At 43.6% G+C, this 16595-nt stretch overlaps 1 protein-coding gene across 16 annotated transcripts in view; it reads right to left on the bottom strand.

Annotated features, from left to right (window-relative positions):
- SNTG2 (syntrophin gamma 2) overlaps positions 1-16595 on the bottom strand; it is a 416765-nt gene that overhangs the window by 116639 nt on the left and 283531 nt on the right. For 10 of the 16 annotated variants that reach the window (NM_018968.4, XM_047444795.1, XM_017004362.1 and 7 more), the window contains 3 exons: positions 12958-13087; positions 11199-11237; positions 3532-3648 (listed from right to left, as the gene is read on the bottom strand). In NM_018968.4, the coding sequence (NP_061841.2) occupies positions 3532-3648; positions 11199-11237; positions 12958-13087 (286 nt within the window). Of the gene's footprint in view, positions 1-1320; positions 3035-3531; positions 3649-7169; positions 8238-11198; positions 11238-12957; positions 13088-16595 lie in introns of those variants that run through there. The other 6 variants (XM_017004374.1, XM_017004372.1, XM_047444798.1 and 3 more) reach the window with 4 other exon arrangements.

Here is a 16595-nt window from a genome sequence, read left to right as displayed (position 1 = left end):
TAGAAATAAGAAGTTAATGAAAACAATCATGTTCTAGGAATGTTCCGGAGTGTATGCAGAAGGAGAAAGAGACGATAGATAACTTTTATAGGAAAAGACAAGAAAGGGGCCATGAATACAAGATAAGGCACAGTTTCCCACACCAAAGATGAAACTGTCTCTGAGGGACTGGAAAGCAAGTAAAGGAAGAGACCTCGAGAAGAGCAAAGAGTGGGCAGAGAAGGAGAGACAGAGAGAAAGACAAAGAGAGGGAGAGACCAACAGAGAGAGCCAAAGACAGAGACAGATGGAGAAAGAGAGAGACCTCGAGAGGAGCAAAGAGGGCAGAGAAGGAGAGACAGAGAGAAAGGCAGAGATAGAGAGAAATAGAGTCAGACAGAGAGAGACAAAGACAAAGACAGATGGAGAAAGAGAGAGACCTTGAGAGGAGCAAAGAGTGGGCAGAGAAGGAGACGACAGAAAGAGACAGAGAGATGAGTCAGACAGAGGAAGAGACACAGAGAGAGTCAGACAGAGAGAGACAAAGACAGTGACAGGTGGAGAAAGAGAGAGGGATAGAAAGAGATATAAATAGAGACAGAGAGAGACAGAGACAGAGAGACAGGGAGAGAGATGGAGGGAGGAGCTGCAGCATCTGGAATGGACAAGCAGATGTTGCCAGAGGAAACATACAGGGTTTGTCTGCTAGTTTTTTATTGTTTTCAAATAGTTTAAATGACCAAGAAAGAAACCCTAACAAACCATGGCAAAGCCAGGTGGCGGAGACAGAGCACGGACTTTGTGGGCCAGAGGAAGGGGCAGGAGGCTGGCAGCCCTGGGGGAGGGAAGCACCAACCCAGCAGGCTAAGGTGTGGGCACTTCCTCTACGTGAATGAGGAGTCTGCGATTTCCAGTTCCTTCCTGGACACATAGAAATGTGACTTTGGCTTCCCGGCACGCACGGCTGGTCCTGTGGCTTTGGGCAGGTTCCTGGTCCTCACCCCAGTGCCATGCGCCCTCCTCAGCCCTCACTCTCCACAACCATATCCTGGTTTCAGACCCCCAGGAAATGATTCTCTGTCCCTTGCAAATGCTGCACTGCCCGGCCAGTGTGAGTGGCAGCGACCTCAGGGCCCTGAGGGAAGACTCGCCTGCATTTTAACAAAACAAAACTGCATTTAAAATAAGAAATGGACTCTCTACCCACAGCAGGTATGAAGAAAAAGAAGCACAACTTAAAATTTAGATACATTAGGATTTCTTTAAAAGAATTATTTCAAAATCAAACATAGTCAGGGTCTCATAATTTACAACTAAGCAGAATACAAATGAATACTGAAGGAAAGTTGCTTATTTGTATTTATTACTTTTTTCAGGCAAAGTCAGCCAGTTTCAAACAAATTATGAGAGCAAGTATCAAGAAGAACAATGACAGGCCACATACTTAGGTGGTTCCCACCGGGGAAGAAGACCAGAGAGAGTATACTCCCTGCACTCTGGATTTTCAGTACATTGTAAGAATATTCTGGTATTAAATGCAGTTAATACAACCCACAGTCTATTAAGAGAGGATTTTAAATAAATTATCCAAAACAATCCTCGGTCAAGTATATTTGTTTACTATTTTATTTACACATGACCTTCATCTGTAAAAGCAAGACTCAAATGAGAAAAAAAAAGCAAGTGAATGTGTCTGTTCAATGTGTTGCTAAGATGAAAATACCTATTTTTAGTTATCGATTTATATTACAATAGGTCTCCATGATAAAACAGTTACGATGTATCAAGATGGAGCTCTGATATTGTGTGCTCTTGCCACTCATCACTAAAATGAGGGGCCTTCAGTTGTCTCAAGAATCAAATTATATAATGGACAGAAGTGCACTACAAGCTACAAAGGAGTTTACGCACGTTAGCAATTCCAGGGACACTTTGTGACGCTGCAATCAGTTTACCAGCCGGGCCTTGCTGAGATGAGTTGGATGCTACCAGCACTCGGAGCATCCCAAGGCAGGACATAACTTCCGTGAAGACCCACGGCCAAGAAACCTGTCTGTTTTGAACCCTTGCTTTTCAATGGTTATTGAATTAGGATCTGCCCATTAGGGTTTGAAGAATCCCTGAGTTCCATAAAAGGCCAACTGGTAAACAGGCCACACAGGTAACACATGGAGTGATATGGGTCCATGGAAGTCCTCCGACACCTCAGCCCCTTCATGCATCTCCAGTGTCAGTGGTACGTGGTCCAGGTTGGGTACATGCGGTGCCAGCCACCTCCTCCGAGTCTTTCAATACCTCTGAGATGAGCTGGCATGAATATCTTAGCTCTGCTCAAAAACAAAATCAGCCCAGCCAATCAGACGTTCACCTCTGGGACTTGAATTTGAAAATATGGAGCAAATTAGCAGTAAATGTTAAAGAACATGGTTATGTTTGTTTTGAGGGGAATTCAGTCATTATTCATGCAAACATTTAGGTGCAATAAGCACAAAGTGCTGGTTTATTTCAAAACCTTGCAACTAAAGCCAATATGATATCCTATGTTATCTCTGGGGCAGAAAAAGTGCATTAGTAGAAAAACTGAAGTTTGACTGGAGGGCGAAGTGTGGTTAGTAATGCTGCATCATTGTCAAATGGTGGTTTGCCAGATGCTCCATGGCCACGTAAGTTGTGTAAATCAGGGGAGCTGAGTGGAGGCAGACGGGGCTCTCTGCACTCAATGTGCAGCTTTTCCATAAATCTGAAATGATTCTCAAGTAAAACGCTTACTTAAAAAGCCATCCTTATCAACGAAAAGACAGGCAGGGTATTACTGTCTTGATGTCTGGAGGTAAAACTTGGTTTTATCTTTTCATTTCCTTTTAATGGAAAAAAGTCCCATGAACACTGCACGTGACATGCATCCAAAACGTGTAGGTACCTGAAGCTCTCAGGTTTTTAGTTTGCTTGCAGTTCTGATGGTCAGACTCTCAAAAGTAAAGCTGTTTAAATTGATAAACTTCTAGACATTACACATTACATTCAGTCAGTTTGGGGAGAATGGTACCGGTGGGCACTGGAAAATGAAATTGCAGAACGATAGCATTCAGCCATAAATTTATATTATGGACCCCACTAAAGCAGGCTGCTTATTTTTTAAATAAAACTTGGGAGACATCCGGGAATAAAAGCTTTTAAAATTTAGAAATTGGAAACGTCTAAAAAGAGGGTTGTATTTTGTATGTTTCTTGGCTTCTTCAACTACATAATTGATCCTCTAAGACACAGAGCCTCTGCATCCCACCTCCAAACCAGCTGGAATTTGAGGAAGGAATAAGCTCTACAATATCTTAATGGCTATTTGAACTAAAGAAAGAAATGGGTTAATTTATAAATTTGGAGCAAGAAATAAGCAATCTACAAGCAGAATCCTTTCCAACCATGCAGAAACAGCAAACGGCAGGACCAAGCACTCTGTCTGTCCTCCTCCAAACACCAGATGTAGCTTTCCCCCTCCTACAGGAATAGCCCTCCCAGCAGCCCCTCCCTGTGGAGTGTCAAAAGCATCCTTACCGGAGGAGTGCTGAAAACGTAGAAGGACGGGCCCTTCAGTGCTAGGAACTTGGGTCTGAAGGTTTGAGAGGAGTCAGCTCCTTGGAGTTTCTCATTTACCCACCCCATATGCACAACCTGCAGAGGGGTGAAAATTACAAACCAAGCCTTAATGAGGGCATACTGTCACAGCAGCAGAGTTAAGCACATGAGCAAGCCATGATCCCATCAGGTCAACACACCCAGAATCAGGAGACGGGAGAAACGTGGAGATGTCCAAGTTTCCAAATCAAGTTCACACAATAGGAATGAATCACATCTTGAATTAAAAATTCAGTTTTGCATTGAACCAGGTTTTATATATGAGCACTTTCAGTTTTGGCCAATGGACTTCTCAGCTGCCTTAGAGTTGTTGGTTTATCTTTTAAAACGACTGTATTGAATTATATTCTATTAGAAGGTAGTATTTCAGATTTTTCTATGAGGTAGTAAAAACAGCTAATTATATTTTTCATTCCTATAGTGAACATAGAAGTTGGCATATGTGGAAAAATAATTGTTTCTCTTTATGGTTCAACTTCTTAACAACAATGAAATAATGTAAAATATTAGATTCTTACAATGAGCAGTGAATATTTTGAGCCGTATGATATAAAATCCAACCTATCAAAATCAGAATATGATTCAAAAACATTTAAATAATAATCCAATTTAAGAATTCAGTGAATTCAATCTAATATTAAAGAAAAATCCATGTTATCTAAAATTTTAATGTGACATATTTTGTAGCAAGTACCAGGAGTAATTTCATTATAATTCTTTCATTTTCTCATTCTATTTCAAGGAAAACCTATTAACATATGCTTAGCATTAAAAACTTAAAAAAATAAAAATAAGTTATCACAGAGATCCCAACCACTTTACCAAATGACACTGACCGATGAGCTATTAAAAGTTGAGAACCAGCTGGGACCTGGACACCCCTCAAGTGTGCAAGCCCCATGCACCCACGAAGTGCCCTCTGCTGGAGCCGCCCAGGTAAGTCCCGTCACAGCCGGCGCCAGCTCCAGGATGGGCGCATCCTGTTTCTGATATTTACTTGATAAACCACTGAAGGTCTTCACTCTTAAGCTGGAGAGACTTCCTGGGAAGTCGAGATGCTAGAGGACAGAATCAGATTTCTACAAACGGTATTTCTAGCAATGGGAAAGAAAATTAGGAGCACTGTCTTGTAGGGCGGGGACGCGTAGCCGAACAGCTATCATCATGGTTTTCAGTGTTGAATACGAATCCCCTGATGCATTAAACGTTTTAGTTTTGTCTTTCTTGACTGTTCTGGATTTAGAAGGCTTTTCAAAGTAACCCAAATATTTCACTGGATCATGAACTTCCAAGTTCCTAGTGGGTTATACTTACGTCCCATGGAGGCTCAGGAACCACATAGATGTGGTATGGGGTTAATGTTGCAGTAACACAGGACGACTTTATTTCCCCGAGACCCTCCCCAGCAAAGCACATTTAACATTGCCAAGGCTCTCTTTTTCCATCATGAAACGGGTAGAATTCTAGATCTCACGTGAGAATTACGGGAATTTCACAGTGTCCCATAGGAATCCCTCATAAGGCACTAGCTGGGGGCAAATGCCAGGGACATTCATACCTGGAAAAGCCACTGATGTGTAATTTACTCCTCCAGTGTCTGAATTTGAAACCAAATACACAGATTATTTTAAAATACCTAATAGATTTTTTCCTTTTTTGTCTGGTTGGGTCACATACTTATATTTTTGTTGGTTATAACACTAGCATTTATACTCTGTAAATCATAAAAGCCTCCATTTAAAAATGCATCTTTTTCTAGCAAATTTAGCAGATGCTTGATGTTTCCATAATTAACATGAATTCAATGCGTGATTAATTCCAGCTCACTACTGCACAAGTGCAGTGATTTGTACAGTTTAAGATAGGATTCATTTGAAGCATAGTTACTAAAAACAATTGCAAACACAGTGGCTTCCACACAGTCATGAAAAGAATATTATGCAGGCAGTTTGTTCAGCAAGAAAAGAGTTCACATTCCAGGAAGACCAGGCACATGGCCCTGAGCAGGCTGCCCAGGTCATCTTACGCACATTTGAGTGCCTTGCTAAAGCTCTTGAGGAGGACTTATTTCTTTTTTTTTTCCTTTTTTTTTATTATTATACTTTAAGTTTTAGGGTACATGTGCACAATGTGCAGGTTACATATGTATACATGTGCCATGTTGGTGTGCTGCACCCACTAACGTGTCATCTAGCATTAGGTATATCTCCCAATGCTATCCCTCCCCCCTCCCCCCACCCGACAACAGTCCCCAGAGTGTGATGTTCCCCTTCCTGTGTCCATGTGTTCTCATTGTTCAATTCCCATCTATGAGTGAGAACATGCGGTGTTTGGTTTTTTGTCCTTGCGATAGTTTACTGAGAATGTTGATTTCCAGTTTCATCCATGTCCCTACAAAGGACATGAACTCATCATTTTTTATGGCCTTATTAGGCGAGGTTTCACAAACAATGATGACCATATCTTCAAATCTAAATCTTCGGAGCAGCTGGCTGCTGGATAACTGCAGCAGGCAAAAACAAGCTTATTGTATTTGTCAGGATGGCTGAGTGGAAGACCTTTCTTTTACTGATTAGCATCAAAGTGTGGAACCAGAATTTCTAGAAAATGTAGGAAATTGCCTGAGTTCTAAATTATTGCAAACTGTTTTTTTTTTTTTTTTTTTTTGAGATGGAGTCTCGCTCTGTCACCCAGGCTGGAGTGCAGTGGTGCAATCTTGGCTCACTGCAAGCTCTGCCTCCCAGGTTCACGCCATTCTCCTGCCTCAGCCTCCCGAGTAGCTGGGACCAGAGGCGCCCGCCACCACGCCCTGCTAATTTTTTGTATTTTTAGTAGAGACAGGGTTTCACCGTGTTAGCCAGGATGGTCTCAATCTCCTGCCCTCGTGATCCGCCAGCCTCGGCCTCCCAAAGTGCTGGGATTACAGGCGTGAGCCCCCGCGCCCGGCCTGCAAACTTTTAAGAATCAGCAACAAGCACAAAAAGTCTGGTTTGACCCCATATTTATTACGAGGAGTCACACCAATATCCTCGTCAAATCACAAAGTTAGTAAGAGGGAGGAGTAGAGAATAATCACATCCAGAAAAAAGAACGAAACAAAAAACGAGCGAATGGCGAACACATCCCCTTCTGCAGGTCCCTGCCAACGTGGTCTGAGAGTCTTTAAAATTCACGAAACAAATACTAGTTCTGATGAGAAATTCTAAGGGTCACAGCCTAATTAGATTCATACGGGGTAGAGAGATTTAAAGTGATGTTTTTCTTTTGCCTGCAGGGCAAACTCTGCTGGTTTTACTTCCTCCACTTCCCCAGCCACCCCCACCACCACCCTGGCCCCAGGCCAGAGTCTTGCTCTGTCGCCCGGGCTGGAGTGCAGTGGCACGCTCTTGGCTCACTGCAACCTCCGCCTCCAGGGTTGAAGCGATTCTCCTGCCTCAGCCTCCCAGGTAGCTGGGATTACAGGCGCGTGCCACCACGCCCGGCTAATTTTTGTATTTTTAGTAGAGACGGGGTTTCACCATGTTGGCCAGTCCGGTCTTCAACTCCTGGCCTCCTGATCTGCCCACCTCGGCTCCCTCATTTTTTAAATCACGTGTTCACATACTGTCGAGTTTCCTTGATCTTACTCGTTCTGTTCACGAAACACTTAATCATGCGCTGCAATTTAGATTTCACAAGGGATGAACTATGAATAGGAAACTGATGTGCAGGAACTTAATCTAACGGCCGTAACACTCAGGAATATCTAAATACAGAGGACAGATGGGTGAGAGATTGATTTACATTACAGGTAGATCAAGGGCGAGTAGAAAGTTGAAAGTATGCATTCTTGAATCTTGGCTAAAATAGAGAACTTGGGATTCTTTTTCCAGCATGGCAGCAGCAAGCCTTCTTTTTGGAGGAGAACTTGATCAAGGGTGGAATTACCATCTAATTCTGATTGAGCAGAGTTACTCTGTTTCTGAGGAGCTGCAGGTACCAGCTGGAATCCGAGCACCCAGACCTGGGAGGCCCCATGAGCTGTACACCCACCTCCCTTCCCCAGGGCTGCTTGCTCTTTCTTCCCCCTGGGCTGGGACAGTGTTGGGCTCTTCTTCTTTTCTATATCGGGTTGACACAGTGTTTGGCACAAAGTTCAAGGAGAGTTATGTATTAAGGAGTGAATAAAGAGCTACTGTTGGCCCAAGATGGCAATAATAGACCGCCAGTAATCTGAAATGCCTGTTAGTTGCATGAGCTTAATTAAATCACACAAGTAATTGAATTATGCTAGATTTAGCAAAGAAATACGTTATAGCTTTGCTATTGTTGGAAACATCGGATGCTTTCTGAATCTTTCTTAGGTATATGCAGTTCATAAATAATTTTAAGCAAAGCTAATTTTATCTTCTACATTATGAATTTTCTAATTACACATTCCAAGAAGTGTGTATTATACTTTTAGAAACATCTCCCTGACTGTACCACCTTAATAAGGATGTCATAACCATTATAATAAAGAAATATATTTTTTATCTTTTCTGATACCATTTCTATAAGAGAGTCCTCTTCTTTTCACCCCATCAGTCAAGATAATTAGTTAAGCGTCCACCAGATGATAACATGCAGCTGGTCTTTTCCTTTAGCTAGAAAAAGCCAGAATTACCTGTGTTATTTAGGGTTTTCTGCAGGGGGTCAGGGAGATTTGGCAATTAAGGCATCATCAATAGCTACCTAAATTAAAATTCAGGTTATTCAAAAATAAGTTTAATTTGGAAAGAAATAGGGCTGCTTGCTATTTGGTGGGGTGAGCATATGTTTGTTTGCAGTTATCTTGGTAATGTTTTCAGGTTAGTCTTTGTCCCAGACAAAAGTGCTCTGGTTTGTATGATAAATTATTTGGTTATTTTATATACCAGATATGAGAGTCTAAAAATGCATACATTATGCTTTTTGTAGTATTCTCCTAATTCTGTTTTTTGTGTGTTTTTGTTTGCCAATTTCAGTGGTTGTTAAACACCTTTATTTATCCTTTCACATAAATTTTTTTGACATAAAATTCGCATTTTTCACATTAACAATTATCTCACAATTATTTGTTAAATACCAAAATCAAGAATGAATTGTTCAGAGTGAAAAAAAATTTTCTTTCTGTTTTAAAGGGCCTAATGTCTTAAATTTAAACTCCTAACATTTGTACAAAGCACACCACTTTTGGAGAAAACGTGAAACCATCCTCCACCAAAAGCGCATCCGGATATAGCAGGGCTAGTTCTTCATCATCCTACATAATGAAGCTCAGCTCTAAGATCAATTTCCAAATAAACTACTCCAAGCTGCTAAGTAAATTCAAAGTTGTATAGGACTTTTAAGGTTGTAAAAAGGACCTTAAATTACCCAGTACAACTTTCTTATATTACAGATAAAGAAATTAAGCCTCAGGAGTGAATTTGTTAAAATTACAACACCAGAGAAGGGTTTGGTCAGGGTTATCAGGTCCAGGGTTTGCCTTTGGCTTTTTGCTTTGTCAAACAAGGCCACCAAGATCGATGTGAAATACACAAGGCTTAATATGTGGGAGAATTTCACTGAGATGAAGCAAAAACAAGGCCGCCCACTGCCTCTGAGGTCTCTGGAAGATGCTCCTTCAATGTGCTCCATAGCGGAAACTGTGCTCCCTACAGGTTTTTACATTTCTCTGAACCATTATTTCATCATTCTCTCTTGTCAGTTGATGATAAGGAGGATTAAGGGGTGGGGAGAGGGTGAAGGATAGCATTTGGAGATATACTTAATGTTAAATGATGAGTTACTGGGTGCAGCGCACCACATGGTACATGTATACATATGTAACTAACCTGCACGTTGTGCACATGTACCCTGAAACTTAAAGTATAATAATAATAATAAAAAAAAAAGAAAATGCTTTCCTCTCCGGAGCAGTGCTCTTTCCAACATGAGGAGTAATTCCAGTATAGCTACAAAAGTCAGCATTTCTCTGAAACACGTAAAGGCCAAGTCCATAAATGCTGCCCATTCCCACGTATGCTCTCCACTTGCGGACATCACTGTTTAGCATCAAGGATCTGTCTGCAAGGTGACAACCCCTCTGAGGGTCGGGAGAGGACGGCTGTCCTCATGACGAACAAACTGAGAAACAGGGAAGAAGCAGCCAACACTGAGAAATACCAGAAGCTGCGGCTCCTCCTAAGATCTCGGAAGAGTCTCAGCTTTGCCATAAAGAGGATCTCAGGAAACATTTTGCTAATTTTGCGTGTGTGAATAAGATGCAATTTCAAAATGGTAAATTATTCATAGAGATCATGTCAAAACTTTGGCCCACTGTCCCACCAGCCTTGATAAAGGCTGTTTCCTGTGTGAACCATAGAGAGATATGTACTTTGTGGAAAAGTTTCAGAACTTCTGTTTCAAAAACACATAGTAGGGAAATGATATTTTATGTATAAGAATATGAAATGAATCCTATATTAATTTGAAGAATTTATAGAAATATTAATCATAAAATATCTATGTAAACAAAAATAGTTGATGGTAATTTTAGAATAATATTAAAAGAGATAAAAGTTAGAAGAACCATTTATTCTTAGTGTTTCTTTTCTAATGTAGAAATGTTGACTAGAGAGGTTTAATTTAAAACACAGCCCTATTTTCCCATTGTTTTAGTAAATATTTCATAGGCAGAGGACCTGCTCTTCTCAAGTCCTCCATCGTGAATTCAAATATTCTTGCTAAGCACTATTTAAAGTCTTTTGTGCGCTATTTAAAGCAAAGCGAACATGTTTTTCTCAGTTTTCTTAACTTGAGGCTATGATGCATGCTTCCTTACGCCCCTAAGAGATGTAACCAGAAAATGAATGAACTATAAATAACATACTCCCTTACATTACAAGTTAAATCATAAGTTTATTATAAAGGAAACAGAAGAATAACACAGTGGCTTAAAAACTGATTTGGCTGATATTGAAACAGCTTGATTACCATAGAGTTTTCCTAAGTACTCATAGACGTGGGAAGTGAGCAGAAAATCAGGCCTGAGGGTGGCTACAAAGGTAGCTATCCTGAATCCAGGACAACGTTAAGGGCTCTGGGCTCCAGGTGAACAAACTGCCTGGATTTGGGGATGACAGGATCCTACCCACTGGCAATAACACCCACTGGGCCAAAGCCCTCCTGAGAATGAAGCTTTCCTAGTAAGGATTTTATTTAAGAAAATAATATAATGCTTAAAATTTCAAATTACACAGGTGTGTCATCTCAAAGCCCTTCTCAGTTTAAACAATCATATCTAAATCATCATTTAAATCACGATTCTTTACAAAACATAACTGCCAATAGAGAAATAATCTATACACAGGAGATCAGAATGACCTATGCTATTCCCACAGAAAGAGCAGTTTTATAGAATTAACAGGCAGGGCAGAGACCACCAAATGCAGTCTGAAATGTGCTAATGTTTTCCTATCAACATTTTCAAATCAAATTTCAAAAAACCAGAGACTGCTTTTCGAGATGTGTTACATCATGAATCAGAAAATACAAACCCTACCTGATGTGTTACATCATGAAGCAGAAAATACAAACCCTACCTGGTCGGAAGGAGAGCAGCATTTGTTCGCCATCTTCATCTGTGGAGAGAAGGCAGAAGAGTCAGGGCCACAGCCACCAACACCAGGATGGCTCACCTGAGTGACAGCTGGAAGTCATCAGCCACGCTCTGTCCTGGGAAACAGGCCTCTTTAATGACATATTTCCTATCTGAAGACCTAGCCAGAGTCAATACAAACATGGCAGCAGTAGAAAACAACTTTACTAGCAGGCTTCAATTCCTCTTTTTCAAATATCAGCATTTATGTAAGTGAAGTTACACTTCAAGAGCAGGTGCTTAAATTCCAATATCTGAGAAAAGTGAGGAAATGATTTCTGCTCTACATAACCTTGTGAGAGTCAGTATTACTGTGATGGTAATTACGGTGATCACAGTTGATATTCTTTCTTTTATTTAGTTCTCCCAATGACCTATGGAGGTAGATGTTGTTTTCCAAAATTTCACCGAGGAAGTGGAGGTGCAGAATCATAATGTTCCCACAGCCCACAGCCACACAGCCGGGAGGCAGCTCAGAGTCCACATTTCTGTTCTGAAATATTGGGGTGTCTGACTTCTCTGCCCTGCCTATGAGGGCTGATTTGTGAAATGACAGAACTGAAGGGCGCTCCTCGTCACAAACATTTCTGCAAATATAAGTCAAGCACCATCCTTTCTTCCCTATTTATTGAGATAACTTTGGAATTTAAAGTGTTGCGTTTGAAAACTACAATGTTAGGAAGGTCCTGGTACTTCCTTCTCTGCTTGCAGAAAGGAAGCCCCTGAGGTCTTCACAGGAGAAATGTCACACATTGCTGCTTCCCCCAGTGTTAGGTTAACTTCTGTTTTGCAGCCACAGGAAGAAGGGAGGTTGCAAGGGAGACGTGAGGTGGTGGGCAGGGCAGGGGCAGGGCGGGTGCATCTGCAGGGCCGCAGGGTGGGCCACGCCTGGCCAGTCTGCAAGCTGGACCCAGCCTCTGCAGCCTCCAGGCTGCGAAGGAACAGAGCAGGGATCGAAGTGCAATTACAGGGCAACTCAGCTTAGAGGGAGCAAGGGCAGCAAGGCTGGTCCAGGGCCGCCTCCAGGCACGGCCAGTCCTGCCACAGTTGCCAGGGCTGCGGCCACGGCTCCATGTCCGAGTCCAGGCACCCATCACTCCAGGCAACGCCCGTGTCATCAAGTCTTCGTTCCCACCCCATCTCTTTTCATTTCTTTAATTTTTAAAATCCTGTTGACTTTTAATATCAAACATCACTTAAGGGGACAGAATACTTTTTCGTTTCTGGGGGACTGCAGTACAAATTTGAGAAGTAATGTTTTTGCTCAATTATGCCTTTTTCTAAATCTTCATAATGTTTGGGAGAATTATACTTTTAACTCAATTAGGTTTCCCCAACTCAAAATGTCACACTGTATCAATGCATTTGGGTAAAATATAAAATTATGACATATAACTATTTCTGTATATGTGTGTGGAGAGAAAGAGAGAGGAAGGGAGGGAGAGAGACAGAGGCAGACAGAGGGGAGGAGGAAGACAAAACCAGATGGGAAATTCTCAGCTGTTAGACATTGCCTTACTCTTTGATTTGGAAACATTCTGATGGCTTCATTTTTAATGTTTTTAGACATAGATTTGACACATTGAAACAAGTACATGATTTTCTGTTTCGGGTTAATCATAAATCATCAGAAACATGATGTCTCCATTATTTTTCATGCACGAATGAGCATCAGCAGAGACTCAGAAACACCGTGTGCTCACGTTCTGAAGTGTCAGCTCCCTGATGTTGGCTGAGACCGCCCGCAGCCAGTCGGTGCCATCCTGGGCTGTGTAAAACCGGAGGATCCCAGAGCTGACTCCGTCCAGGGCGAGCACCTCGAACGCATTCCACCTGGGGAGGGAGAGAGCTGTCCAGGAGGCCCCGCAGCGACGGGAGCGGGCCTGCCTCCGTGAGTTTCGAGGCTGATGCTCAGCAGGGCTCTACCCTGGACCCAGGACATGGGGCAACTGCACCACTTCCTCAGGCGCCTCAGTACAGTCAGCAGGCTCGCTGAGACCAAGACCAAACCCCGAATTCCCTTGGTAACAGGAGCTACTTCTAATTCGATGAAACATGAAAAGCACTTTGTCAAGGAAAGAACAGTGCTCCTGAAATTCTGGAGTTATTGTCTGCAGGATTCTTACTGGTTATTCTTTCGAAGACCCTTTGGATGGAGCACTTAAAGCTCCTGATGGGGTGAGGCTGGAGCAGCCCAGCACCCTCTGCACTCAGCATCCACCCTTCTCTAGGACCACCTGTGTGCTTCTGATTGACAGGGGAGCTTTGGGAGAACATAGTCCCCTTCCACTGCTCCATGACACTCCACTTGCTGAGAACTCAATCATGGCAAAGTATTAACAACCAACCGTCTCAAATTCAGTAGTTCTTCCCTGTCATGCAATATTTTTTAAAAACATACTTTACATATGCCTATTTGCAAAAGAGAAATGTCATGTACACTTTTATAGACTTTTTCTTAAGAAAATAGTGCATATTGGCCGGGCGCAGTGGCTCACGCCTATAATCACAGGACGTTGGAAGACTGAGGTAGGTGGATCACTTGAGGTCAGGAGTTCGAAATCAGCCTGGCCAACATGGTGAAGTCCCATCTCTACGAAAAATACAAAAATTAGCCGGGCATGGTGGCACACACCTGTAGCTCCAGCTACTCGGAAGGCTACGGCAGGAGAATCTCCTGAACCCAGGAGGCAGAGGTTGCAGTGAGCCGAGATCACACCACTGCACTCCAGCCTGGGCAACAGAGTGAGACCCTATCTGAAAAAAAAAAGAAAAAAAGAAAACAATGCATATTAATGTATATGACTCATAATACCTCCATGGTCTCAAGCAGCTAACTGAAGATAAAATACAGAACAAAGCAAACATATTTTTTTAAAAAAATAAGTCATCACTAAGCTATGTTCTAATAATCTTTCAAATGTGAGTGTCATCGCTGCTTTCTTAGGCAAGGTGGGGTGTGTAGGAGAAGGGGTAGGAAACAGAGATGGTATAACACAGTTCTGCATATTTTTGAGCCAAATCTATCAGACCAGAGTTTGCTATTTTAAAAGTCATTCTTTTAAAAAGCTGACATCCCTGTCTAGGGGTCATTCTCATTCTAATTAGTGTTTCTTGAATCAGAATGTGAGGTTTATCTACTTGTGGCTGATATTCTGCCTGATGGCGATGAACAAGGTACTCTTGACTTGGCAGGAGGACAGAGGTGAAGGTGGAGGTGACTGTGTGGAGCCGGAGAGGGGAAGAAGCCAGAGGAAGCAGGTCCCCTGCATGGGGAGGGCAGGCAGCTCTGCCTCCACCTTCGCACAGCCCTTTCTGATCACCTTTCCTGGTCCTCCTGGGGAGCACCTGTCCCTCAGGATCCATCGCTTCCCGTGGGGCCTTTGGTCCTGGATGTCTGCTATAATAAATTAATTTTTACACTTCAAAATGCTGGGAGACTATTTTAGGCAGATTGTGTAATATTCCACATGAATTAGGTGCTTATTAAATATTGACAGACTTATATCTACACTTTTGTCCAAGTATCCATTAATTCTTATTAAAGTAAGTGCTAACTAAAAATGGGTTCATTGCCATCATTTCTCATTTGTTCATGTTAACTGGTGCGACATATACAAAGCAAGGCTGACCTTAATCTAGTGGTTAATAAACAGCTGGGTCAAGTAGATTATTGCGGACGACAGCCAAGTTCCCTGGCTCCCCACATGAAGAGGTCAGAGACTATTATTTTTAGGCATATTTTACATTGAGCTACAGGACACACACACACGCACACAACTCACCAGTGAACACCTCGATAAACAGTCATGTATTCCATACTCTTGGCCAACCAACTCTCAGACCAAAAACAGACTTTAGAAGAATCCTCAAAAGTTCCCTGTGTCCCATCCTCCAATTTTCCCCATCTCAGAGCTCTACGCTTTTATTCTTTCAGAAGAGCCTGTTCTTCTCCAAAGGCCTGGGGAGGAACAGGGGGTGGTGCCAGTGTGGGCCAGGGGCAGCTTTTCCTGGATCCAGCTAGACTAGGGGGCCTGCAGGGATCCTGGGGCAGCGTGGGGGTAAGGGTGCCTCCTCTCATGAATCGGGGGTGCCTCGTGGGGCCTGCAGGGACCTCAGGGCAGCGTGGGGCAGGGGTCCCCCCTCTCATGAATCGGGGGTGCCTGGTGGGGCCTGCAGGGACCTCAGGGCAGCGTGGGGCAGGGGCCCCCCTCTCATGAATAGGGTGTGCCTGGTGGGGCCTGCAGGGACCTCAGGGCAGCATGGGGTAGGGGCGCCCCCTCTCATGAATCGGGGGTGCCTGGTGGGGCCTGCAGGGACCTCAGGGCAGCGTGGGGCAGGGGTCCCCCCTCTCATGAATCGGGGGTGCCTGGTGGGGCCTGCAGGGACCTCAGGGCAGCGTGGGGCAGGGGCCCCCCTCTCATGAATAGGGTGTGCCTGGTGGGGCCTGCAGGGACCTCAGGGCAGCATGGGGTAGGGGCGCCCCCTCTCATGAATCGGGGGTGCCTGGTGGGGCCTGTAGGGACCTCAGGGCAGAGTGGGGTAGGGGCGCCCCCTCTCATGAATCGGGGGTGCCTGGTGGGGCCTGCAGGGACCTCAGGGCAGCATGGGGGCAGGGGTCCCCCCTCTCATGAATTGGGGGTCCCTGGTTGCGCGTGAGGGCGTGTGAAGGACACGCATGGTCACCGCTTGGCTCCAGCTCACATGTACTAACGACAGTGTCTTCTCAGGGAGTTGGCATTTCCTGATTCTCAGGGTTGGTGACGTATGCACCAAATGCATGGATGACTGAACACTGGGTGCTCTCAGCAGGGTCAGTACTGTGGTCATCCTCGTAAAGTCAGTGGTGAGAAGGAATCTGAGTCCAGAGTCCTAACTCTGCCTTTGGAGGTTTACACCATCATTGATGTAGCAGGAATAAGATGTGAGTAGAGACAGTGGACCCAGGCTCCATGAAGGACCCTTTATCGATGCTGTGGTCTTGAGAAAGATCATCAGCTTTGCCCCCTGAGGCAGTGAATGCACGTGGAGCCCCAGAGGCTCACGGACTCGCACGAGGGGCAGACGGCTGTGTCCTGCAATAAAAAGGAAGGCGTCTGCAGTCCAGGCACGTTTATGCCATAGCTTCATGAGGCAGGCTGGACATCTCACCTCTGAGCTGGGCTTTCCTTGTCCGTACGATGGGCTTCAAATGCCAACCGTACCACAAAATAGGAATACTGAGAGGAACAAATGGGATAACTGAAACAAAGTTATTTGTAAGCCCGTAAGTACCATATAAACATTATTAGTCTGTAATTTATCAAAGAAAGCAATAAAAATTAAGTATCAAATGAACAGA

This window comes from Homo sapiens, chromosome 2 (assembly GCF_000001405.40).
Source record: "Homo sapiens chromosome 2, GRCh38.p14 Primary Assembly".
Lineage (NCBI taxonomy): Eukaryota > Metazoa > Chordata > Mammalia > Primates > Hominidae > Homo > Homo sapiens.
This window is presented reverse-complemented; position numbering and strand designations above follow the sequence as displayed.